The sequence below is a fragment of the Homo sapiens genome, chromosome 1 (assembly GCF_000001405.40).
Source record: "Homo sapiens chromosome 1, GRCh38.p14 Primary Assembly".
NCBI lineage: Eukaryota > Metazoa > Chordata > Mammalia > Primates > Hominidae > Homo > Homo sapiens.
This window is the reverse complement of record NC_000001.11, coordinates 50,164,498-50,192,377: the sequence shown is the minus strand read 5'-3', so window position 1 is coordinate 50,192,377 and position 27,880 is coordinate 50,164,498. Positions and strand designations below refer to the sequence as shown.

At 42.7% G+C, this 27,880-nt stretch overlaps 1 protein-coding gene and 1 long non-coding RNA gene across 30 annotated transcripts in view; one reads left to right on the top strand and one right to left on the bottom strand.

Annotated features, from left to right (window-relative positions):
- The window catches only part of ELAVL4 (ELAV like RNA binding protein 4), a 155,718-nt gene that overhangs the window by 11,395 nt on the left and 116,443 nt on the right, over window positions 1-27,880 (bottom strand). For 22 of the 29 annotated variants that reach the window (NM_001324208.2, NM_001144777.3, NM_001438736.1 and 19 more), the window contains one exon: window positions 15,186-15,289. In NM_001324208.2, coding sequence (NP_001311137.1) covers window positions 15,186-15,289 — 104 coding nt within the window. Of the gene's footprint in view, window positions 1-11,077; window positions 12,835-15,185; window positions 15,290-27,880 lie in introns of those variants that run through there. The other 7 variants (NR_136725.2, NM_001438739.1, NM_001438740.1 and 4 more) reach the window with 1 other exon arrangement.
- ELAVL4-AS1 (ELAVL4 antisense RNA 1) lies at window positions 16,508-18,704 on the top strand. The gene is made up of 2 exons (XR_001738045.2): window positions 16,508-16,932; window positions 17,638-18,704. It is a non-coding gene; the product is annotated as an ELAVL4 antisense RNA 1 (long non-coding RNA).

The following is a 27,880-nucleotide window of genomic DNA, read 5'->3' as shown; positions in this document are numbered from 1 at the left end:
GGATGAGCAGAACCCTCATCCATGGCACTCTCCCCCTTTCCATGACAGACATGCCAGGTCCCTTTATGGGTTCCATGCCTAAAAATAGATGTTGACTCAACAGATAAAATGATGTGAGTGACTAATCTGCCTCCCTGGCCTCCTCCTGCTGATGGAGTGAGGCAGCTGCCTTCAGTATCTCCATCTTCTAGAAACTCACGGGTGGGCTGGGAGGCCTCTGTGGGCTCCTTCTCAGCACATGGCTGAGATGTAGAGGGGCCTTTATATAGGGGGTCCCAGTGTGTGCATTTGCAGTGTGGGCTGAAGGACTAAGAACCCCATGTGACTGTCTGGACAGGGCTTCACTCCACAGAAGGTTCTCCCACCCCTGTTCTTTAAGGGACAAAGTGTGTCAATAGCAGAACTATTTTTTGAGTAAGAGGAAGAAGTGGAAGAAGGAAATAAAAACATCATAGTGATATGCCCATGGCAATGAGGGTCACCCTTGTTTCACCTTGCCAATTACTGACAAATTAATTATCCGAATGACATTTGTGCTCCCTCAAAACACAACCTACCACCTTTATACCTTTGCTCATACAGACATTTTTTTTATACCTACTTCCTCAAGTCCAAATCCTACTCCTCTTCAGGGCTCAGATCAAATGACATCTTCTCTAGGCAGCTTTCTCTAATCTCACCTTCTCCTAAAAATCTCCCCAGCAGTGTTCTCAATGAACCATGGTACTTAACCCGTTTCAACCTTAACTGACCACCTCTCCATCTAGGCTGATGATCTCTTTAGGTTGTAGGTCTTGTGTGTGTGTGTGTCCTATTCAACTCTGTGACTCTAGCTCCCAGCACATAGCCTGATACCTATAAAGTGTTCAACACCTACTGAAAAAATGAATAAACACCCACAGCTCATGAGAAATGATGTTGATATTATTGGCTCTTTGGAGTTAACTGTAACTCCAGTAAGGTGGACCACTGAGAGTCAGGCACCCAGAATCCCAGCTGTGTTTCTCCACCAAGCTAAGAGCTAAGGGACATATTTCCCATTTTCCAATGCCTGGGGCTGGAAGGACTGAAAGAAGATTGTTCTAGGACTAGACCTCACATAGAGGCCTTCTCTTAGCAAATATTTCCTGAGGATCTACTATGAGCCAGGTACAGTGGTATGTGTTGGCAACACAGCAAGAACAAGGCATAGTCTCTTGCTGTAAAGGAACTCCAAGTCCAAAGAGGGCAACAGACAACACATAAGAGGCACTCAATAAAATGTGTTGAACAAAAGAATGGATGAGTAAACATACAGACCAATTATCACAGTGCCACAAGATGTGTGTGTTATGCCAGGGATACATATGAGTGTGACTAAAACACAGAGGAGGGAGAGATTAATCAAAGGTTAAAAGGGCCGGGAAGGAGACACAGCTGAGCTGAGACTGGTGGTGAGAAAGGTGGTGGTGGAGTCAGGTAATGGTGGCCTGATAATAGCCTTCCTCTGTCACGAGGACAAATGAGGTGATGAAGATCAAGGGCTTAGCACAGTACCTGGCACCCAATAAATGCATAATGGATAGTCATGACCTTAACTCCCATTAGTTCTGCACAGCCAGAGCTAGGGTACAGAGGGAACAGGGTGAACCCTGCCAGGGAAGAGGAGCTGGCACTTGAAAGTTGGTGACACAACAAAAACCATTTCCCCAAAAGTTGATTCCAACATAGGTAGAATCTCAGCTAGGGAGAATTACTGCAACACATCTCCAGAGACAGACCCTAAATCCCCAAAGGCAGCAACAAATCCCAAAGGTGAACAGCACATCAATCATTCTCTACCAAGTCTAATTCCTGTTTAGTATTTCTCACCTATATGGAACCTTAAGTCTATTGTTCTCTCAGTTTCCTGTCCATGAAACCTGTGGCGTATGGATAAACAAAAATGACAGAAAAAAGATCTTCCTGCATTGAATATCCAAATGTTCATCCTAGTACCTAAAATTTTCAACTTTCCATATACATGTATTAAATTCTAACTGAATGACTACAGTGGTCAGGCCCTTGGTTAGGCTGAAAGATTTCCAAAAAATTGCCAATTTTCAGGGTCAGCATTGATGGCATATTAATGCCCCTGGGCCAGTGGCCTGGAGTCACAGGGCTTCCAACACTGGAGCCAGCGCCCTGGAGAACCCCCCTTGCCTCAGTCAGGATCCTGTTTGCTTCATTCATCCAGAATCTCTGAAGACAAGACTGGCATCTCTAGGCCAGCACTGACCTCCTTCTGGAACTCAGAAAGGGCTGGGAGTGAAGAAGCCACTCCTCTCTCTGGGTAGGGGTGGCTCAAAGCCAGGTGACTGTAAGCAGCTGACTTTACAGATGATCTCTATGGAAGATCTGAAGTCCCTCCAAGCTCCTCAGCTCTCCCCATCCCTGGTGCTCACAGTCTTCCCATCCTCCACCAGAAGGATGCTATAGCATCATGCTTATGATCCCTGACTGTGGGTCAGCTCCAGTACTCACTAGCTGCATGACCTTAGGCAAGTAATTTGATCTTGATAAGTCTCAACATCTTTGCTCGTAAAAAGGGGGTCAATTATCCTTTGATGGGTTATTGTAAGAACTGAGTTGATATATTTGTCTAGCACATACCTAGAACTTAGTAGATACTTACACATATTATTATGTGATGAGTCATACAGGCTTTTGTGGGCCAGCCTGGGAATCTAGCTCCCATTGGGACATACCCTCCAATTTCACCGGAAAAAAACCCCCAAAAAACAAACAAAAAAAACATGTGGAACACTACCAGGGAATGCCTGTAGAGGCACTGCCCTCCTCTGCCACCCTGGTGGGGTCTGGACCATCTTTTACCACTTTACTGACATGAATGTCCTCTAACACATTTCCACAGATCCCACTGCTTTATGCCGACAAAGTACTTTCCACTTTCCAAAGTGACTTCCCAATTCTGCTCTCAGCAAGTCTCACCAAGGTGGGTAAAGCAGGCGTTGTCATTCATCACAGATGGGGCATCAGGACGAGGGCTGAGGGCTGCCTCTTCCCATGCAGCACCCACAACTCCCTTTACCTGTTCATACACAGGGCTTGGCCTGGGCAGGGTGGGAAGAACAGCATGACCTGAGGAAGAATGTTCCCTGAATCATCCAGCAATACCTCACTCCTTGTCTGTCCTCCATAATACAGAAAAGGGAGAGGACATGGAAAACACGATAAAGGCATGTTGGGTGCAATGAGGAGGATAAAATGAGAGGGAAAAGGCATCCTTTTTAGCCCCAGAAAATTGCTCCTTTAGAAAAACACTGGCATTAGAAGATGGGAGTTCATTCATTCCTCCCCTTCCTAAACATCTACTATGTGCCAGGCCCTGGGATGGGTGTTGGGAATGTCTCTGCTTCACGAATCCCAGTCTGGAAAGGAAAGTAAACAAATGAAGCATGCAATACAGAGGGCTGCTTCCAACAGGGAGATACTCATTTCCCACTCCCAGTGTTTCCTTCCATGTGGAGAGAACCCCCTGCAGCAACAGACCAGGCCTATTGCTATCCCTTCATCCACTCTTCCCCAGGGAAAAGAAGTGACTCCTCTGAATGGAGGCTTCAATAAAAGAAATGGGCATGTGAGGCTCAAATGCTGCCTGCTTCTTCCCTTCTGGGAGCCAGACGCCAGCTGGAAGCACACATTCTGTTCCAGGCTCTCAGTCTTATGGGGGCAGGCTCTGCTCTCGGCCTGTGGGGTCTAGAGCACTTGTGACAGGGTGTGTCAGTCTGTCAAAGTGTAAAGTTCAGTGTTATGGAGCCCACTGTGTCCATGCAACCCATCCAGGCCTTAATTGGCAATAAAGATGACCTTAGGATTCCATACACTTTTCTCTTTTGTCTTACTTCTCAATTGGTTTAGAACTTGGATGTGGAAAACAGCAACGCCATTTGTTGGGCCCCTGTGGATTAGAGTAATGACGTGGCCTCTATCATTGACTGGATTTTTTTCATGAGCCAGGCATTCTGTTCACAAAACTGCAAATTTCTATAACTGTGGTTCATAGTAAGTGGAGACATAGTAAGTGTCACATAAAGGTGACATACAGTGGCAATGGGGAACTCAGCAGAAAGTTATATTCCTGAAATCTGCTTCACAGAAATTTGGTGCTGGAAGTGGCCCCAAAAGTTCATGGCATGATCCAAGACAGCCGACCATTCAATGTATACATTTCCAAGGACAGGAAGCTCACCACCTCATGAGGCATCCTACACTATTGCTGGCCATGATTAATTTTTTTTTTTGAGACCAAGTCTTACTCTGTTGCCCAGGCTGGAGTGCAGTGGCACCATCTTGGCTCACTGCAACCTCTGCCTCCTGAGTTCAAGCAATTCTCTTGCCTCAGCCTCCCAAGTAGCTGTGATTACAGGCATGCGCCACCATGCCCAGCTAATTTTATATTTTTAGTAGAGAAGGGATTTCACTATGTTGGCCAGGTTGGTCTCGAACTCCTGACCTCAGATGATCTGCTCGTCTCAGCCTCTCAAAGTGCTGGGATTACAGATGAGAGCCACCATGCCCAGCCTCATTAATTGTTGAAAAGTTTTTCCTTCTACTGAGTTCACATCTGTCTCCCCTGTAGCTTCCATTCTTCTATTATTATTCTAGCTTCACACCCCAGGGCCATCTTTTCTGTCCTTACCACCCCTTATCCTATGGGTCTCATTGATAGGTGCTAGTTAGAGTATTGGGTAACTATATTTTGAGACAAATCACTCCAAAGAAGTTCTTGTTTATGTTACTTTAACTGAAAGTGAGCACCTGCTCTAGAATGAAAAGGAGGCAGCAATTAAGAGCAAGTGCTTTGGGGTTGGAGAGATGTGGACTTGAAACCTGACCGTTATTAGCTGTGTGACTATGGGGTGAGTCACTTAACCTTTCTGAGCTGCATCACTTGAATACATAGTTTAGAAGCTCTGTTACAGAGCTGTTTGAGGGTTAAACAAGAAAATGCATTTAAGACTTCTAGGCACAATGCCTGGCACACAGTAAATGCTCAATAAACAATGGCTTTGATACACTTGCTGTATAATCAGGCCTTATGCTAGACACCAAGGGTGTAGAGATGAATACAACAGTCCCTGACATGTAGGACTATTAGTCTAGCAGAGGAGACACACACACACAAACCAATCATTTCAGAAGATCAGGCTGCAGATTTTCCCCAATCTGTTGTAACACCCTTTTCTCTGAGTGCATACAAACTCCCCAGAGCAGACAAGTCCCTGGGGAGATGAGGAGAATGGAATCAGGGAACAGATTCTGATGCTGCCAGGGCCTTCTAGGAACAAATCCTCTCAAGGACCTACAATCCCACCTCTAGGAGCAGGGACAGAAGAAAGAAGCCAACTGGTTCCTGGAAACCGCAGCTTTGATTGTGAGGATCAGTTTACCTCTGTGCCTGTGGCTGTAGGCCTGTTCACAGGCAGGACAGGCATCTGCTTATGTAGCACCACTCTTTACACTTCCCCTACCTGCCACCTGATACGTGCTATTTTATCAGAGGTGAAACTTCATGGAAATGGTTCTAATGAGTTCCGATTGTGCCATTTTGTGATGGGAGTCTAAACCCCTTACCTGGGCATTCAAAGCCCTCTGGAATCTGGCCCAACCTCTCATCTCCTGCCAACCCCTTCATGCACCCTATGCTCCAGTTCAGACAAAAACATGTCACAGTTTTCTGAATATGTCCAGAAAATTTCTATTTCTATGTCTTTGTTTTGCTGTTTGTTCACCATCATGGCAGAATAAACTCCTGCCCATCTTTCTAAGCCCATACTGAATGCCACCTCCTCCACGAGTCCCAGGCACAAATGACTCTCCTCTCCTTTGACTCCACAGAAGATACACAGCAGTATATTTCAGTGGCAATAGTTACACTTACCCTACCTCCCACTACAGGCATCCTGATCCCAGATCCCAGGCACTACAAGTGTGATAACACCTTACCTGCCCTATGAGTCTGAGCATTCTGGTGATCTCCATAGACCCCTGTGGCACCTAGTCTCAAAGCTTTATCAGGGCAAGAGCTCAAAAAAAAATGCTCTCTCAAGTGAAATGAAATGTATCATATACTTTATGCCGCGGATTTTAGCTTCTTTTCTAAGAGCTGACTCTGATGTGATGAAGAAGCCAGAAAGAATCATGCAGTTAAAGGGTATCTACGAATATCATAAGGGTGTCTGGCACCTAGTAGGCCAGACAAGTATTTCTTTTAAAGAATAGAAAAGATGTGACGATAGATTCATGTGTCTTGCAACTTCTTTTAAAATATCTATCAAATTATCAAAGAGGCATACTTAGTACGTACTAAGTTCTCTCTGTCTATCTAGTGGCCTTCAGAAGGGAGAGCTGTGTAAAGGTCTCATGGCCTGGTTAGTGGAATATCTGGTCTTGGGCTCAGGGCCCCAGATTCAGTCTCTTCACTAGACTGCAACTCCTGGCTCCTGCTTTATAAAAGACTGATACGATTACTGTGGCCAGCTGGAAGCTTCATAATACTTTCCCCTATACAAAGCTTTTTATATATGTTGCCCGAATCTTAGTAAAATTCAGACTCATTCTTTACTCCCTTACTCATCACTGAAACATGTAGATGGAAAAAAGTCCCCCCCTCTCCTCATGTAATGTTCACTTTAGGGATAGCACCATTCACCATCATCTTCATCCTGGGGAGCATTTCTTGAGCATCCACTGTAAGCTACGATTCCCTACAAGTAAGATATCATTAGTTCCATTTTCCAGATGACAAACTCTGGCTCAGTGAGATCAAGTACTTATCCAAGGTCACACAGCTGAACTAAGAGACAAACTGGGATATAATTCCATGTTCTGGGATGTTTCCACTATGGCACACTAATCCAGACAGTGAAATAAAAGCCGTGTGCTTGGCACAAACTGTTACTTTCCCTGAAAGGTTACCAAGCCAGAAAGATCACACTATAATTTGTTAGTTATACTGTTGGAACTGGAAAAAATCATTTTGCAGATGAGGAAACCAGTCCAAAGAAGTAAAGTAAGTTGCCCAAGGTCATCCTTAGCAGTTTTTGACAGAGCTGGAACTTGACTTTCCATCTGAACTCAGAGCTCTTTTGAATGGACAAAAGGGGAGAAGGAAGAGGAGTGTGGTGCTCTATGATCACTGACAGACCAGCCATCCTGCCCAGAGGCTGCAGGAGCACCATGGAGAAATGAGTCTTTAATCCGCAGGGCCACTGATGTTTTAGGCCAGCACTGTCCCACAGAATTTTCTGGGATCAGGAAAATGTTCTCTATCTGTGCTGTCTAATATAGGTAGCCATTAGCTACAAGTGGCTACTGAGCACTTCAAACATGCCTAGTGTGACTAAGAAACTGAACTTTGAATTTTATTAAATTTTAATTAATTTAAATTCAAATATAAATAGCCATATATTGCTAGTGGCTACTATGCTGGACAGAGCAGCTCTACAATCAGAAATAACACAAAATTATAGCATCTTAGAGCTAGAAGGGACCTTTAGGATCATTTAGTCAGACTCCACTGTGGGACTGAAATCCTGTCTACATCATCCCTTATGAGTTCATCTGAATGCTTCCGATGATCGGAGCCTCATTACCACCCAAGGCAAACATTCTACTCTGATAGCTACACAGGTTCTCTTCCCAGATTCTTGAAATATAGGATCAAACTAATGCCTCAGGGTCACTGCAGAATTTTCTTTCCTAGAGAATAGAAAAGCAACCATTGTGAGGTGAATCTGTGGGTGGGTGCAGAGACTTCTTTCCCATCTTTGTCATTCACCTTTAGACAATCTTTTAAAATATGAAGCCGAGAATGGGACATAAGACACTAGGATGGGCTGACCAGAGTGGACAAGAAAGGACCACTATTTTCTGTGATATGGAGTCCATAATTCTCCCAACACAACTAAAGTTGTGCTGATTTTTTTTTTTTTTTTGAAGCAGCTCACATCACATTGTTGGCTTCTTTTACACTTGAAGACAGCTAAAGCCCCCAGACCCCATTCCATGTACTTCTGAAAACCTGTGCCTTCCCAACCCATACCGGTCTAATTTCCTTTTTAGATGTGGACACAGGACACTATGAATGAACTTCAAGATACTGGGAACGTATCACCTTCACTGAGCAGAGAGAAGAGGGGAATTGTATTTCCATTTCTCCAACTCCTATCCTTGTATTTGAAATTATTCACTCAAAGGAAGTGAACAGGGCACTGGGAAGCAGAGCAGCCAAATAAAATCTCCCACAAGAGAGGGCTGCTAGCACAACTGGGGTAAACGTGTCTCTGGTTTCTGCTGGCATTGCCACGTGCTCTCTCTTGGCTCCCTGGGGATTCAGTGATCCAGCCGCCCCTGCTGACCTTGGCAGAGAAGCATTCTCGCCCAGGTTGTGACTAGCGGTAATGGAGGAGGAGAGAAAATGCCTTTTTACTATTAACAAGACTGAGGGAGGCAGTCCATCATTTCTGTGTGGGGTGATATCCATCAGCAAAAAATGATCTGCTAACTCTCCAGGAAGCATTAAGAGCAGTGATAGGAGAAATAATTGCTTATGCCGAATGCAAAGAAAAGATGCCTCAGCGGAATGGAGGCCCTTAGCAAGGCAGGTGGATGCAGGGAGGAGAGGGGGAGGCGCAGCTCCCTGACGACCCCTGGCAAGAGAAAGAAGTGGGAGGGGCAAACTGGAACCTGCAAAGCTCAAGTGTGGAAAGACCCCCGGAGGCACTGTTAGTGGTATTAGAAGAATAAAGCGAAAATGGAGAAGTGGTTAAGCAGCATCACAACAGGAAGAGGTGGAAATGAAGGAGCTCACTCTCCTTCCCAGAGAAGGAAGGTGTTTCCTTCTGAAAAGCCTTCCCTCACACACCTTCCCCTTCTCTACTCCTGCTCCCTCCAGAATTGGGCCACTGCCTCATGGCTAAGTGTCTTTCTTATTCTCTCACCGGCTGCCTGCCTGAGTGCTAACTCTCATAGATTTGCTCAGAGTGGCAGGAGCAGCTCTTTTACCCCTTCATCCCAGATCCAGTGCTGCAATCACTCACAATACCTGTCCTCTGGAAATATTTCATTTAAAATCATATTTTAATCCTTTGGGTAATAGCTTAATATAATTATTAGAAAAAGGTAAGTCACTAAGTCATTTGTGCACATATAATACAATAAAAAAAGGATGGAAATCGGCCGGGCGCAGTGGCTCACACCCGTAATCCCAGCACTTTGGGAGGCCAAGGTGGGCAGATCACTTGAGGTCAGGAGTTTGAGACCAGCCTGGCCAACATGATGAAACCCTGTCTCTACTAAAAATACAAAAATCAGCCGGGCGTGGTGGCAGGTGCCTGTAATCCCAGCTACTCGGGAGGCTGAGGCAGGAGAATTGCTTGATCCCGGGAGGTGGAGGTTATGGTGAGCTGGAATTGCACCACTGCACTCCCAAGCGAGACCCTGTCTTAATTTAAAAAAAAAAAAGGATGGAAATATATAAATATATAAAAATGTTAACACTGTTGGCTTAGGAATGGCTGATATTGCCTTCACGATATGATTCTGTACATACCAAATTATTTACAAAGAAGCATGTTTTGCTTTAAAAATGAGTGGATAAGGCTCCTAATAGAGCTGATGAAAACCAATGTCTAAGGCTGACAAAAACCTACCACAGCAGCCTGCAAGCTCTGGTTTCATCTGTCAAACATTCTATGTGGCACGTCGTTGACAGATGAACTTTCTTGGAACTTTACTTTGATCAGATCTTTTGCTCACTCAAACCTTGCACAGCTCCCTATCTCCCCAACCCCAATATCAAACAGAAACCTCTGCAGCCCCATGACTGCCCTGTCCCACTGCTTTAGAGTTGGTCCTTTGCATGTCTGTGTCCCCCATGAGACAGGAGCTTCTGGAGGCAGAGCCAGCAGTGAACGCTTGTTTAATCCTACTCCTGACATTTAGGTCAAAACGCAAACAGGTGTCCCAACACTCTGAAAGGTTTAGTGGGTGTGATACCAAACCCTCACATTCCATTTTGGATCACTTTTTACTGAAGGTTCTCAATGTAATTTGAACATCAATCCAAAACTTTGGTAAACGTATTTCTCTTTTGAAGGTACTAATTTTCTTTGTTCCTGATTAATGTGACAGAGCTGGACCAAATGCAACTTCACTGAAGCAGTTCTTAGTAAAAGGATAAAATTACAATGTAAATTCAGAAGCTGTTCTTTTGGAGCCCAACAGAAGGTCAGGCCTGGGACAGGCATCAGGTGTGGGGTCAAGGAGTACCAGGAATAATTTTTCAGAATCCACAGCCATTTGCAGAGTCTAAAATGATCCCTATTGGAGACGACTTTTAAAAACAAAGCTAGCCGGGCGCGGTGGCTCACGCCTGTAATCCCAGCACTTTGGGAGGCTGAGGCGGGTGGATCACCTGAGGTCAGGAGTTCGCAACCAGACTGACCAACACGGAGAAACCCTGTCTCTACTAAAAATACAAAATTAGCCGGGCGTGGTAGTGCATGCCTGTAATCCCAGCTACCCCAGAGGCTGAGGCAGGAGAATTGCTTGAACCCAGGAGGCAGAGGTTGCTGTGAGCCCAGATCGCACCATTGCGTTCCAGCCTGGGCAACAAGAGTGAAACTCTGTCTAAAAAAACAAAACAAAACAAAACAAACACACACATACACACAAACCAAAAACAAAGCTAAACAAATAGCATCCCAAACTCCTACATGAGGCAAGTCATCTCCACTGGGCTGGGCTCAGGGCTGAAACACTGAACAATGACCCAGTTTCCTAAGTGGGGTTCCAGGCTGCTCTGGCAGGCTAGTGAATGTAAGCCCATGGTCCATACTCCATAGCTCTCTGACTCACATGGATGGAAGAATCTCTAGGGCACTGTCATTTCTGATTCACCTAAATCCGAGGACCTAGCACAGAGCCTGGAAAGCAGGGACCCAAGAAGAAATGAAGTCAGGTCTGTCCCTAGGTTGATAGCAGAAGCCCTGAGCCATGTCTGTTTACTAAAGAACCTGGAGGAGACACACAATTCATTTGTTTGCTTTTTATTCTCCTTCCCATGCCAGAGAGTATAACCCATGTGTGCACAGAGCCAAATACACACCCACACACCCTCACAGAATGCACGTGTTGCTGAGCAAGCAGGCAGTGTGACATTCCAACACTTACGACCTACTGCCAGAGAGTTATTTTTAGAACATTTTTTCTTACTCCAAGTCTTGCTTATCAATTGTGTCATCCTGGGTGTGTCTCTAAGCCTCCTTGGGCCTCAGTTTCCTCACCTGTATAAAGGAGGTAATAGTACCTCCTGACAGGGCTATTTTAAGAATTAGAGTTGATGTGTGTAAAGCACCTAGCTCCAGGGATATTTCAAAGATGAAATGATATTAAGCATGTAAAAGGGTTATAATAGTATTGGATACAGAGTGAATACTCACTATAAATTAGCATTACTATTAATCTTTATTATTATTATTTCAAGCTCATGCTAACATATTAAGCAGCTCCTCTTCTGGCAGAATCCTTCAGAGGCCCTTTTGAAGCTAACTTGAGCTCCACTGCTGGCCTGTTGTATGGCTTTGGACAAGTCACTTAGTGTCTCTGAGCCTGATCTCCAAGATGTGTGGTGGGAACTTTCTCCCACTAAAGAAGTTATAACCCAAAGAACAATTCCCCTGGAGTCACCATCCACACTATGCATTGGAAGCTTAATTACACATCATGCTCTTTCTCTGCTTTGGTGCTGTGCCGATGCCTAGATTGCATGCTTCTGGAGAACAGAGGTCAGATTGCTCTCTGAATGCTGTCAGTATTCACACAGAGTCATGTAACACTGCCCCTAATAAAAGGGAAATGGATATTTGTTGACTGGGAACCATCATTTGTGGGTACCTCCTAGTACAGGTTGAGTATCCCTTATCAGAAATGGGACCACAAATTTTAGATTTTGGAATATTTGCATTATACTGATTCAACATCCTTAATCCAAAAACTTGAAATCTAAAATGCACCAATGAGCATTTCCTTTGAGTGTCATGTAGGTGCTCAAAAAGTTTCAAATTTTGGAGCATTTTGGGTTTCAGATTTTCCAATTTGGGATGCTCAGCCTGTAGTGGACCTGTAATGAGCCATTCACTACCAATTGGCAAAACGATGTTTTCATATTTAAATTTGAGTTCATTTTTTTTTTGGTGGGGGTGGGTTGGGGGGTGGTTTGCAAACTGCCTGTCAAAAGGTCAACTATTAAGTTCTGTTTGGCCCACCTACATAATTCTTAAAATTCTTTGAGTTATTTTCTAGCTTTTAAAAATTGGGAGATTGGCAGGAAAAAAATCTAGATTTTCATGTGTATTGGACAACTGGTAGATCTGGCAACAATCTGGGTTTAAACAGTTAGCAGCAGCAGCAGAATAGCTGTCTTCTTTACAGCTCACTACAGTCTCCACCGATGCCTTAGAGCTTTCCAGAACCTTCCCTGAATCCAGCTGTTAATCATTAACCTTCACAGCTTTGGAATTAACTATTGATTTGCCTGAACCTACTTTGTGCATAACATTTAAAGTAGAGTGTTTTGCACTCCAGAAATTTGAAAAGGAGGGGGAAATTTGACCAAAGTTCACAAACATGTACTAGATGGTCCTGAGACCTCTGTAATGTACGCTTCCAAAGAAGATACTTGGTTTTTTTCCAGATAGGCAAGTTAACTATTCCTTCATGGGAGTCAGAGCAAAGAGATAGATCTCATGTCACTTATCAAAGCAAACTGAAGCAGAGGTAAACAGTGGCCTGAAAGACAAAAAAGCAATTTAAAAAAATTAATAAATGATGAGACTATTAAACAGCATACAAAAGGGGTTTGCTTTTTTCTTTCCTTTAATATGATTTTTACCTTAAACATTGTGTCCCTTTAGAAAAGGGAAGAAAAGTTAATAAAGGAACCTATCACTCAAACTTAATTTTTAGTACAGCAAATAAACTGCTTTAATGAAAGGGCTGAAGTCCCCAGGTTTGCACATTAAATTTTCATTTGTAGAGGAGAATGGAAATTATTGATTCAGCCATGGCATCGTGCATTTTGAATCCTACAGTGTCTCAGAAGCCCACATTACCGCTGGGTGCAAATGTGTTGGCAGCGTTTTGATACAGGGTGGGTGAGGGGGTGGGGAAAGGAATATAGATAACGGAAGGAGGCAGACTGACTCTTTACAGAAAGAAAATAATCAATGATCCTTGTCTCTAAGATCCACTTAGATAAAGCATCTGATGGCATGATGGGCTAGGGGGTACATCTGAGACCAGAAAAGCCAGGTCTACTCAGTCTTTGGGGAACCACAGTGGCCTTATGGAATACTTAAAAAAAAAAAAGCAAAATGGAAAGTTGATTATTTGATCCTAAGCCCCTGGAGAAGAGTTGGGGTTTCAAGAAAACTGTAAAGAAAAGTACCTTTTTCAGTTCAAGGTCAGGGTGTCTGTCAAGGGAAGAGTAGACATCTGACATTCTAATGCTGAACTGGATAGCACAGAAAATCAATCAAACCTACAAATACAGCTCTCAGTCTAGTGTGGCCTCATCAAAGAGTCAGGTGACATGAGCATCCGTCTTTACTTAAAGCATGAAAATAGGTATGTTTTTACTTTGAAAGAAATTAATCCTCCTGCCTCTCAGAGGACTACCCCATAATTAAACAACTCTTGATTATTTCCTCATTAGAGAACTCATAGGAAATGATTCTAAGCCTAGACTGAGGAGCCTGAATCAGGTCCATTTTGGGATCTTTGTGTATCAGGCTGTATGAGATCAGGGAAAGCAATCATCTTTAGAAATAAGCTAAACTCAATTGCAAAAGTAAAGCTGCTTAAAAAAGAAAGAAAGATAATCACATATTCTAAAAAGAGAAAGGTTTTGCTTTGTTTTTGTTTTGATTACCTTCCAGCTAAGATTATCTTATACCAGTAGTCTCCTCTATCAGGCTGGATGTTGGAAAAGTAGCTTTGTTGGACTAAAAAGTTCTGGTTTTGTGTTTTCAGATGCTGAGAGCTGGTGCCATCTATAGATTTCCATTCTGGGAGAGGTTTCTCTTTTGTCCTACTTTGCGTCAGACCTGCTGTCGTGAGGATAAGAGCGCCCAGGAGACACTTCCCTGCAGTTTAATAGGCTATGAAAGATGGGGACTCATTAATTGGCTGGCAGCTGCCCCTAAGCAGGACGCTGCCTGGAGGTAGGGGAAGAAAGGGAAGGAAGGCCGAGGAGGAGGCAGGCTCCATCCACTAGACCACCACCGGCTGCCCAAGGGAATCCCCCAAGGCAAACAGCACTACCTCCTGAAGGATCCCATAGGTGAAGTCTGGACCCAGAGTATGACTATCCAGTGACAGAAACTTAAACCTCCTTCTAGAGGAGCAGGCTCTGGGTTACTGTTTTTCTTTTTTGACTTAAAACAACCCTTCCTGAGATATTATCTACCCACCTAATTATTTTCAGATTGCTGAAATGTTACTTTTTCTGTCATTCCCATACTATGTTCTCATCAATTTTATTATAGTACCCATCCCTATTACACTGGTGCGTTTATTTATAACTGATGCTCCCTTTTCGAGTCTCGATTAGGAGGGTCCTAACCACCCTTAGGTAAAGCCAAGCTGCAGCCTGGCACACAAAGCCTCCTGATTTGGCCCTGCCACCTCCCATCCTCATCTTTTCACCTTCCCATCCAAACTTAGGCCACACTATTTATATGCTGTCCCTGCTCACAACGTCTTACATTTTCACAGCTTTGCATGTGCTGTTTCCTCTGCCTGGAACAGCTTCCTGGCCTCAGCCTTTTCCCTTGGCTCAGCTCTGGCCATCTTTGCAGACTCAGGCTCACAGGCCCTCTTTGTGGGGTCTTGAATCCCAAATATCCCATCTGCCCTCTTAATTGGAGGTCTCACAGCTTGTGGTCCCTTCCCTCTACTCAACCCTCACCTCACTCTTCTGTAACACTCTGTGTCTCCCATTTAGTATAGTGGATGGTAAATGTTCTTTGAATAAATCAAGAACACTGCTTCCAGCCCCCACATAGCCTGGATTTACCAGATCAACAGAATGAAATTTAACCAGAGCCTCCTGAATCAGGAGCCAGCACATCACCTCTTACCTTTATGGTTTTGGTCTGGAGTCTGAGTCCATTTAAAGTGTTGATGGCTTTCTCTGCATCCTTTGGATCAATATAGTTAACAAATCCATACCCTAAACTCTGTCCTGTGGAAATATTAAAAAGAGAGAGAGAAAGGGAGAGAGAGACAGACAGAGAGAAAGAGAGAGAGAGAGAGCATGCTCAGTATCTTTATAGAGGCAACACTTCCCACTGCAGTGAGTCAAAACTCTCCTTTGGTATACAGTTCCTCTTACACCAGGGTTTACCCCCAGATTGAGAGGTTTCCAATTCCTCCAACTCTCACTCTCATTGGCTATTAAACTTTAGGAGCTGTGCAAGCTAAAACTGGGTAAGTGCCCCTGCACAGCCACACAAGAGATACACAAGTGTCCACATAATCAGGAAGAGGCAGGACATGGTAGCGGAAAGAGAACAGGTGTGGTTTGTCAGAAGAGACTTAAACTGGAGTCCTAGAGCTTTCCCTATCAGCTGTGCGACTTTGTAAGGAAGTAATTTAATCTCTCTCCCCCTCCCACCTCCAATCTCTGTTCTGGAGATAACAGCACTTACCTCAGGTAGGTTTGAGAGAGTGAGAGATTGTGTATAAAATGCCTACCAAGTACATTGTCTAGATTGGAGTAGGTGCTCAACAAAAGACAGCTATGCTCTGCTCAGGCCTGTAAAATTGAGGCAAGTGCTGGACACAGTAGCAGTGTCTATTGCCTCGGTCATGCCAGCCACACCCACATTCAGAGGGATGTAGCAAGACTTGAGTAGCAAAGACTGGAGATGTGTATAGTTAAGGATGCAGGCATGGCTAGAATTCAAAGCAGTTGCTACAAATCATTCTTTACCCTCATCATTCCCTGAGCCAAAGAACAATAAAGAAAAAGGAGAGGGGGTTTCTACTGGAAAGAGCTGGGGAGCTCCTAACACAAAGCTAAGAGTGCAAATAAACTCTGAAAAGAGGATTTAGCTACTTTAGGTGGAGATGGCATCAACTTGTCTGCAAAGAGAGGTAGCAAGTGACAGGGCTCCCCCCAAGTGAAATAAAAATAATGTGCTTGCAATCGTGCCACTGATTATAAATAGTCCATCAGCTCTGCCATGTGTCATCAGCCAGAAATATCATTAGGAAACTTTACATTTTCTGACATACCCTTTAAGAAACACAGAGCTTGGGGTGGCTGCAAAACCAGCCTGAACTTCCCAAGCAATGTTATTGATTTGTGGGCGGCAGCAGAGCCGAAGGGGAGGAAAATGACAGGACGTCACATGTCAGCAAAGACTGATTACATAAAGCTCTCTTTGGAGTACGGGGGCCAGGGCTGGGAGATAATACAGCAAAAAGCCTGCCATGTCCTGGTGACAGGAGCCCATTTCAGCGGCCAAAAAATCTTTCCAACAGCTTCTGTTTTGCTGGTAAATGTCTGTGTTTGTGTTGGTTGTAGGAGGAAACCTGGGAAAACAAGTTGGGTTCTGGATGAGAAAATGGGTGACTTTGTTATAGGATGGAGCAAAGAGAATCACAAGAAAGCTCAATGGCATTTGACCCCAAATGGAAAACCCAAAATGACACTTCCATTAGGATATTCCTTTGTTTTGGAAGAACAGGGTGAGAAGAAGAAAGACAGGGGCAAACTTTACCAGACATGCCCTTCACCAGCCAGGATTAGTAACTGAAGAGGAAGGAGAGAATGCTGGGTGCACTCCAGCTGCTGGGACCCTTCTCTTTCCATCTCACTGTGTAAGTATGGTGTGTGAGTGGCGTGTGTGTGTGTGTGTGTGTGTGTGTGTGTGTGTGTACGTGTGGTGGGGGCAGGGGGAGGTGAATTACAAGACCCTGCCATATGTTCCCAGAAATTTCATTTTGCAAATACAAAAATACAGAGACCAATTTCATTGGTTTAAAAATATCATTTATCCGAAATTTGGTGTCACCTCATCAAACCTAGCTAAATAATTCACCTAATTAAATACATTTTCATCATGCAAATTTCTCAGTCATATTTACCTTGCATATATGAGAAGCTTTAAAAATTGCTGTACAAAAGTATTCTTATAATCACTTTTTAAAAACATTCACCAAGTTGAGCTGCTTTTAAAGGATATTTTTAAAACAATTATCTCAATGATAAACCTTATGCATAAGTTCTAGGAAACTGGTCAGATGGTCAATCTATCCAGCCCAATTTAATTTGCGTAAAATTAAAATAAATTATGAAAAATATAAACAAAACACCACTTAACAGCAAAAATTAGACCTAACTCACATTGGAGTAGTACTTGATTTATTTATACTGATGGAATATATGTGGAGGAATCATGCTTACGAGTGGTACATGCTCCTGACACACTATCCATCTTTCTAAAATTACTCATATATTGATGAAAATCTAAAATAAATATAATGGGCATAATTTTCACATTCTATATTTTATTTTTGTTTTAGACCTTTGCTTCTGGAGGAAGGAAAATACATTCAAGTCCTAGGAAGATTCTGAAGGTCAAATGAGGGAAAGGAGCCCTGCCCAGCAAGATGTATCATGTCAAGCCACCTGCTTCTATCAGTCCCAAATCCACCATCACCTTAGTTCCTGACTGCAATTAGCACAACTGTGTTATCACCTGCTCTAACTTTAGAGAGAGACTGCATTTAACATCAAGAATGAGGGTGCTTTTGGGAAAATGAAAAAAAAAAAAACAAACAAAAAACAGATGAACATCATTTCAGAAAGGAAGAGGAAAAATGATGATGATTCTCCTTGATATGAAATAATGAACTTCAAGCTCTAAAACAGAACATTGCATAGAACAAGAGGAGGACAGAGGCAGAAAAACTTGCCTGTGAATTGAAAGATATGAGATAGTCTGGTACCACAATGAAACTACCTGTGGTTAGCCTAGTTCATGAACAGGTTTTCTTAACATGCTTCTCACCATCATAGGAGTTCAGCTAAGTCTAATAAAAAGCACTCTATGGATCTAAGCATTCTCTTTTAACATGTCCTGTAGAGGATTAAATCTCTATGTAGAAAATAAAAAAACCCAAGCTTTACTTCTTTTAGAAACTATTTCAGTAGTAAGGGAGAGTAAAATGAGGAAAAATTTTATGTTTTAATTTTGGTGGCCATATATTGGTGATGGGTTTTATATTTGCAGTTCTGTATGCTAAGTGTACCTAGAAAAAAATAGATGAAACGCATTCACAAAAAATAGCAACACTTTTTCTATGGGGACCAAGAGAAATGCTATGCTGGGAGGGCCTGAGGGATCCAGTCTGGAGCCCAGAGCTAGTGTATCTGTATCTGTATTCCAGAAATAATATCTTTTTATTACTCTTTCTTTTTTTTTCCAAATGGCTACATCTTCTCCCTTTATCAGCAGTAGCAAGATTTGAGAACATAGGGATGGCAACAGTATTTTCAGAACAGAAAATTAAAACAAGCTGTATTTTTGTTCCCAATTTATGAGTCTATTTTGATGGGAAGTTGAACAAATAAAAAGGAAATCATCAAAGTTACATTTATTGAATCCTCTTTATTAAAAAATGAGATATGAAATTAAGACTGCCTCCAAAATTTAGAAACTATAGTGAGCATTTGGCCCCTTGGTGCCCAGGTGACCTACAACCCTTACTGTGACCAGTCCCTAATAATCCTGTCCAGCAGGCATGTGTGAATGGTCACCAGTTATCATGCATGGGCAGGAAATGCATTCTTGGCAGTTTGAGATGGAAACTTATAATTCAGAATGTACTTTCCAAGAGAAAACTGCTATACATAATGGCTACACTTTAAAGCACTTCAGAGTATTTTGAATTAAACAGGTTTTTGTTTTTAACAAGCTGCTCTTAAATCTGAACTTCAATATTTCTGTTTTTATAAAGCATAGGCACATAGGCACACACACAAATACACAATGTCTCCTCCTACTATGACATGGCAACATCTTTATTCTGTTATAATAATTTGTATATCCAACTTTTCCCCTTAGAAACAAAACACATCTTCCCATAATAACTAGCTCATAAAAGTTTCTATCCTTGCACATAGTAAGTCATCAACAAATGCTTGATAAATGAAAGAATGGATGTATGCATTTGTACCAGTCCTCCATTACTGAAAGCATATAACCAGAATGTTTGGTAAGTTTGGGGGAAGAGGGGGAAAAGAGGGGGTACCCAGGGAATTAATTTTGCATTTGTGAGAAAGAGAGGACACAACAATAAACTGACTCCGGGGGCTGGAAAACAAAACACAAACAAGAAATGTCCTGGGTAGGTTCTCCTCTGGCACAGATCAGATGAACAACAAAAATCACCCTTATCCACCTTTCCACAGAGATTCTGAGTTTACAAAATGCTTTCCCATCCTTCTATGCATTTGATTCTCTCAACAACCCTGTTTGAGAGATAATTATCATTTTATAGATGTGGATATTGAAGTTCAGAGAAAATGGTGATTTGCCTAAGATCACAGAGCTAGATCATAGTCTGGATCAGGGGTTAGAAAACTTTTTTATGTATAGGGCAAGACAGTAAGTAGTTTAGGCTTGGTAGGTCTTAGGGTCCCTGACAACTCTGCCATTGTGTAGCAGCCATAGACAGTATGTAAACAAATGAGTGTAGCTGTGTTCCAATAGAACTTTTTCTAGAAAAACAGGCAGTAGTGGCCCAATTTGGCCCATGAGCTGTAGATTGTTATCTTCCGATCTAGATCATTTGACTTCAAATCCTGTACTCTCTGCCACAACTAGTTACTCCATTTGAACTAAAATGTTATTATAATAACAATGATTCTGAGACCCTGAAATGTATCAGAGGCTTTTTGAATCTGCTGTGAAAGAGTAAATTATCTCCAGTAGTTTGTGTTAAGCATTTTTGTTATATTTAATCTCTAGAAAGTGTTGAGAGCATAGCTGGTTATAACCCCTTATTTTCCCAGCCATTCTGGATAGACGTAGCTTTTCCTTGCCTTTAGGATCCTGGAGATTATTCTGATCCTGACATCCTTATGGTTGATGGCTGCAGTAGAGAAGCTGGCCAGAAAGAACCTCAGCATTTCTGCACTGCCAATCTGCACACCTTGCTCTTTCGCTTTTTAAAAACCATCATTCTCCAGAAACCGAACAGTTACTCCCCTCATCTACAAAGCCCCTGAGGAGGCAGCCAGATGGGTAGCTGCTGTTGAAAACTTCTGAGTTGAGTAAGGAATTTTTATGGAAGTTAGAACCCCTAGTTCAGGCTGAAATCCTGTTCTGAAAGTGCATGATAAAATCCCCAGTCACCTCAAAATTACCTGCATGGCAGTAATCCACATACTAGGTTAATTGCAGCCAACTCCATATCCTGGGACTCCTTCACTGCCCATTCTGAGAGGTCTTTCTTGCTTTCAGCAGGCTTAAATCTACCCAAACACACCCAAGAAAGGGTCAGATGAATGGTTGTTACTGCATGTATCAATGTGTGTGTGGTTCAAAACTACTTGCTGTATAACCTTGGTTAAGTCATTTAAGCTTTATCAGTATGCTCTCTTATCTGGAAAAAACAGAGATAATCCCTTAATTCTCACAATCAAAGTATCACTGTGAAGATTATATTAACATGGGGACTAATAGCAGCTACAATTTATTCAGTGCCTACTTTGTGCCAGGCACTGTGCTAAGTGGCTTATTAATGTTACCTCATTTAATTCTGTGTGAAATGGGTATCATCAGGCCTACTGTGCAGATAAGGAAAGTGAGGCTTGAGAAATGTTAAATAATCTGTCTGAAGTCAACCAGCAAGTAGGCTCTGAGGCTAGGATTTGAATGAACTCCAGTCTGTTGGATATCTCAGTTCACACTTTCTCTCTACAGGGACTGGCCCAAGTTTAAGTGTCCAGCAGAGTGTCTGGCATCAGGCAGTTACTCAAGGGGATACATTCACTTGCACTGGGGGTCTCTTCTCCTTCTTAACACACTGACTGGGGATCCCTTGGGGTTCTGGAGCACCTATGATTGTTCCCTCCCATCCCACCTCTGAGAGGCTTACAATGAGTCTTGGCTTATTTCCTGCAAGCCCAGTGTTACTACAGCCAACTAGTCAGAGGATTTATTTTCTTTTGGTCATTCACACAATTTCCTCAAACTAAGTATGTGGGGTTTTTTTGTTTGTTTGCTTGTTTTGTCTCATTCTTTTGCGCAAGCTGGAGTATGGTGGCATGATCACAGCTTGCTGCAGCCTCAAACTCCTGGGCTCAAGCGATCCTCCCACCTCAGCAACCAGGGTAGCTGAGATTACAGGTGCATGCCACCACACCTGGCTAAATTTATTTGTTTATTAAGAAATCAGGTCTTGTTTTGTTGCTCAGCCTGGTCTCCAACTTTTGGGCTCAAGCATTCCTCCTGCCTTGGCCTCTCAAAGTGTTGGGATTACAGGCCACCATGCCCAGCTTAAGAATGGTTTAAAACCTTGCTACTCAAGGTGTGGTTCCTGTATCAGCATCACTGGCATCACCCAGGGACTTGTGAGAAATGCAGATCTTCAGGTCCCATCCCAGACCTACTGAATCAAAATCTGTACTTCCACAAAATCCTCAGGTAAGTCAAATGCACATGAAGGATTAAGAAGCATTGGTTTAAAGTATGATGAGAAACACTGGAAAGAAAGGGAATTGGAGTTGGTCAGACGTGTGTCTGAATCCCAGTTCTTCAATTTACTGCTGTGTGACTCTGGCTAAGTTAAATTAACCTCCCTGTGCCTTGGTTTCTGGGGATACTACACACCCAACTCATGGTAACAGAGAAGGGAAGCTCTGATGGGAAAGCTCTCAGAATTTCTTGGTATATGCTATTTCTTTTTGTCCCCAGAATTTACATTCTTACTTTGCGTCTTTCTGCTCCAATAAACTCATTTATAAGATGGGGCTAATATTACTTTTTTCAAGGGGTTAATAGGAGGATTAAAAGTGATAATGCATGTAAAGTCGCTGCCATAAAACAGATGCTCAATAGATGTTGGTTCCTTTTCCTTCTTCTCTCATGCCCCACAAGATACTGTCTGACACTGTGGTCTATGTGAATGTTATTCCTCAATGAAACCGCAACCTTCTTGAAGGTAGAGGCTGCTTCTGATGCCTTTCTTTTACATTGGAGCATATAATATTTAACATGCACACAAATCCCACATATAACTAGCACCTACCACATGCTAGACACTATGGGTAGACCCCAAAATGACCAAAAAATTGTCCCCGCATTCAGGGAGCTTATAATGTAGAAGGAAAACACAGGTATAAAAACTAATTATAGCCCAGAAAAAATAATACATATAGCCCAGCAAAAATAATACATATAACAGGTATTTTTCTTTTAAAGCTATATATAAGAACAGAGAGGAAGTTGAAATTGATTCTGACTGAGTAGAGTAGGGAAGGCTTCATGGAGGTGGAGACATTTGAGCTGGGCTTTGAAGATAAAGCAGAGTTTTGATAGAGTTTCCCTATCACAATGATGACATTCGAACTTGAGGGCTGAATCTAAGTACTACATTTATCCCACAGATATTTAGTGAGCATGTGTTATGTACCAGGCATATTCCATTCACTAGGAATATAAAAGAGAACAAAACCTACTTGTTTTCTGCCATCACTGAATTTACATTCTGATTGGGGTTGAGGGAAATGGACAAGAAATACATAAATAAAATATAACGTTTTTCAGATGATAGTGAGTTGTAGGGAGAAAATAAAGCAGAGAAGAAGGAAAGGCAGTGTAGGGGGTGGAGTTGCGATTTTTAAAAGGTATGATGGTTTTTAAATAGGTATGATAGTTAATACTGAGCGTCAACTTGATTAGACTGAAGGATACAAAGTATTGCTCCTGGGTGTGTCTGGGAAGGTGCTGCCAAAAGAGATTAACATTTGAGTCAGTGGGCTGGGGAAGGCAGATCCACCCTTAATCTGGTGGGCACCATCTAAACAGCTGCCAGTGAATATAAAGCAGGCAGAAAAATGTGAAAAGGAAAGACAGGCCTAGCCTCCCAGAGATCCAGCATCTTTTTCCCATGCTGGATGCTTCCTGCCCTTGAACATCGGACTCCAAGTTCTTCAGTTCTTTGACTCAGACTGGCTCTCCTTGCTCCTCAGCTTTCAGACAACCTGTTGTGGGACCCTGTGATCATGTAAGTTAACACTTAATAAACTCCTCTTTATATATATATATATACATATATATATGTGTGTGTGTATATATATATATATATACATATCTCCTATCAGTTCTATCCCTCTAAAGAACCCTGACTAATACAGATTTTGGTACCAGGAGTGGTTCTAGAGGAACAGAATATTAAGGATGGAGTTCTTTAATTAGTTTTGGGATTTTTGGAGTTGGCTGCTTAATATGATTAGACCCCAAAATGCTAAGAACTCTACTTCTAATAGCACAGAGAACATTGACAGTCTTTGGCATGACCTGTTTAGAGCGTTATGCAAAATAAATGAATTTGATACTCCTGATTCACCGCTCGTGAGTGGCAAGGAGTTTAGTGACTCTATACATGATACCTTTGACTGTATGTGGAGAACCAAGGAACATAATGAAGCTGGTTGGTTGCTCCTAAGTTCAGTGGACAAAGTGATGAAAGAAAATGATGAACTCAGGGATTCTGTCTCCCAGCTTCAGAAGCAGATACTGAGCTTCAAATCTACTGAGATTGCCTTGAGTGAGAGTCTTATCTCTTGTAGAGAAAGAGCTGAAATTACGGAAAAACAGACATGAGCTCTTATCATGTGAGTGGCTGACCCGCAACTAAAGATGCATGCACAGCCTCGCCAGGTGTCTACTGTTAAAGTGAGGGCATTGATTGGAAAAAATGGGACCCTGAAACTTGGAATGGGGATGTGTGGGAGGATCCTAATGAAGCTGGGGACACTCCTGCCACCCTGATGAAGCTGGGGACACTCCTGCCACCCTGCCTTCTCTTCCCCAGTTTGCGCCAATGGCCTCATGGGGAGTTCCCTATGATCAGTTGACAGAGGAAGAGAAAACTAGGGCCTGGTTTAAAGATGGTTCTGCACACTATGCAGGCACCACCCGAAAGTGGAGAGCTGTTGCACTACAGCCCCTTTCTAGGACATCCCTGAAGGACAGCGGTGAAGGGTAATCTTCCCAGTAGGCAGAACTTTGAGCAGTGCACCTGGGTGTGCACTTTGCATAGAAGGAGAAATGGCCACATGTTCAATTATATAGTGATTCATGGGCTGTAGCCAATGGTTTGGCTGGATGGTCAGGGACTTGGAAGAAGCATGATTGCAAAATTGGTGACAAAGAAATTTGGGGAGAGGTATGTGGATGGACCTCTCTGAGTGGTCAAAAACTGTGAAGATACTTGTATCCCATGTGAGTGCTCACCAATGGGTAACTTCAGCAGAGGAGGATTTTAATAATTAAGTGGATAGAATGGCCCATTATGTGGACACCACTCAGCCTCTTTCCCCAGCCACCCCTGTCATGAACAAAGTGGCCACGGTGGCAGGGATGGAGGTTATGCATAGGCTCAGCAACATGGACTTCCACTCACCAAGGGTGACCTGGCTACAGCCACTGCTGAGTGCCTAATTGGCCAGCAGCAGAGACCACTATCGAGCCCTTGATATGACACCATTCCTCGGGGTGATTAGCCGGCTACCTGGTGGCAGGTTGATTATATTAGACCTCTTCCATCACGGAAAGGGCAGAGGTTTGTCCTCACTGGAATAGACACTTACTCCAGAAATGGGTTTGCCTATCCTGCACACAATGCTTCTGCCGAGACTACCATCCATGGATTCACGGAATGCCTTATCCACCATCATGGTATTCCACACAACATTGCCTCTGACCAAAGCACTCATTTTATTGCTAAAGAAGTGCAGCAGTGGGCTCTTGCTCATGGAATTCCACTGATATTACCATGTTCCCCATCATCCTGAAGCAGCTGGATTGATAGAATGATGGAATGGCCTTTGAAGTCACAATTACAAAACCAACTAGGTGACAATATTTTGCAGGGCTGGGGCAAAGTTCTCCAGAAGGCTGTGTATGCTCTGAATCAGTGTCCAATATATGGTACTGTTTCTCCCATAGCCAGGATTCATGGGTCCAGGAATCAAGGGGTGGAAGTGGAAGTGGCACCACTCACCATCACCTCTAGTGATCCACTAGCAAAATTTTTGTTCCTGTTCCTGCAACACCACGTTCTGCTGGCCTAGAGGTCTTAGTTCCAGAGGGAGGAACGCTGCCAACAGGAGACACAATAACAATTCCATTAAACTAGAAGTTAAGATTGCTGCCTGGACACTTTGGGCTCCTCCTACCTTTAAGTCAACAGGCTAAGAAGGGAGTTGCAGTGTTGGCTGGGGTGATTGACCCAGACTATCAAGATGAAATTAGTCTACTACTCCACAATGGAGGTAAGGAAGAATATACATGGAATACAGGAGATTCATTAGGGTGTCTCTTAGTATTACCACGCCCTGTGATTAAGGTCAATGGGAAGCTACAACAGTCCAATCCAGGCAGGACTGCAAATGGCCCAGACACCTCAGGAATGAAGGTTTGGGTCATTCCACCAGGAAAAAAACCATGACCTGCTGAGGTGCTTGCTGAAGGCAAAGGGAATACAAATGGGTACAGAAACAGGGACTGTAATTGTCATGGGTATTTCCTCCTTCTTTTGCTAAAGACATGTTTGTGCATGTATACACTTGTACTAAGAAAATGTCTTTATTTTATTTCCTTTTCCTTTATCATGTGACATAAGATTTATTGACTTCATATCAGCATTTAAGTATTGTTAACTCAGTATAATGGTATTTGGGTTGGGGATGGGTGCGTTTCTGGTTGTTTGAAGGATAGTTGTATTATGTTAGGTGTAATCATGAGCTTATTACTACCTTTATTTGAAGATTATTTATAACCTCAAGAGATGTGTATGGGTTCAAGCTGACAAGGGGTGGACCTGTGATGGTTAATACTGAGTGTCAACTTGATTGGATTGAAGGCTACAAAGTATTGATCCTGGGCGTGTCTGTGAGGGTGTTGCCAAAAGAGATTAACAAAGGCAGATCCACCCTTAATCTAGTGGGCACGATCTAATCAGCTGCCTTAGAATATAAAGCAGGCAGAAAAACGTGAAAAGGAGAGACTGGCCTAGCCTCCCAGCCTACATCTTTCTCCTGTGCTGGATGCTTCCTGCCCTTGAACATCGGACTCCAAGTTCTTCTGTTTGGGAACTCGAACTGGCTCTCCTTGCTCCTCAGCTTGCAGACAACCGATTGCGGGACCTTGTGATTGTGTATGTTAATACTTAATAAACTCCCCTTTATATATATATACACACACACATATATATATACACACACACATATACACATATATATACACATATATACACACATATACACACATATACACATATATGTATATATACACACATATACATGTATATACATATATAAGTATATATGTATATGTGTGTATATATGTATATGCACACATATACATATATACACACATATATATACCTATATACATATATTTATGCATATATATGTATACGTATACATACACGTATATATGTATACATATATACGTGTATGTGTGTATATGCATATATACTATATATACATATAGGTATATGTATATACGTATATATGCATAGTATATACATGTATACACACACATATATATGTGAGTGTGTGTGTGTGTGTATCTATATCTATATCTATATATATATATATCTCCTGTTAGTTCTTGTCCTTCTAGAGAACCCTCACTAATACAGATGGTCAGGTAAGGCCTCACTGCTAACATGATGTTAGAGCAGAGATCTGAGGGAAAGGGCTGGGGTGATTGAAGGGTGGTAGCCAGTCACTTCTGTTAGAGAAAAGGGCATTCCAGGGAGAAGGAATCTCATGTGCAAAGGCCCTGAAGCAGGAACGTGCTTGGCATGTTGGAGCAGTGGCACAAGTGAATGTGAGGGCAATCCATCATCACGCTTGTCAAATGACTGAAAAGAGGAAAGGGGCACCCTTAGTTTCTTCAATCTGAATTACCATGCTGCTGAATAAGACATGTATGAAAAAACTACAGTGGCCCCCTCCCCTCAGTCTTGCAGATCAGGCGAACATTCTCACTGACACATCCTTTGAAAACTGTCTGGTAATGTGTCTCTGTTCCCCGCTAGACTGGGAGCAACATGGGAACAAGATGCTGCTTTATTCATTTCTCTTTCCCCAGGAACTAACAAAGGGCCCATGACATTATTGGATATCCAGTAAATGTTTGTTGGGTAAACTAATGAATATTATCTATTCACATGGATATTTACATTCTCTTAACTACCTTCAGTCTCCCAAATACCAAACATAAAAGGACCGGGAAAAGCAGCAAAATCTTTTTTTTACCAGAGCCTTACCCATGTCCATAGGAAGTTGGTAAGCGGAACCCGATCCCATAAGACACATGTGAAAGACCTGTGGGCATTTAGTTTGAAGGAGAGAAGACTCTAGAGGTATCCAAAGCCCTTTCTTTTATTTTTTATATTGTATTGCTGTGTTGCCCAGACTGGTCTTGAACTCCTGGCCTCAAGCAATCCTTCCACCTAGGCTTCCCAAAGCACTGGCATGTGCCACTGTGCCTGACCTCAAAGTCCCTTCTAATATTTTCAA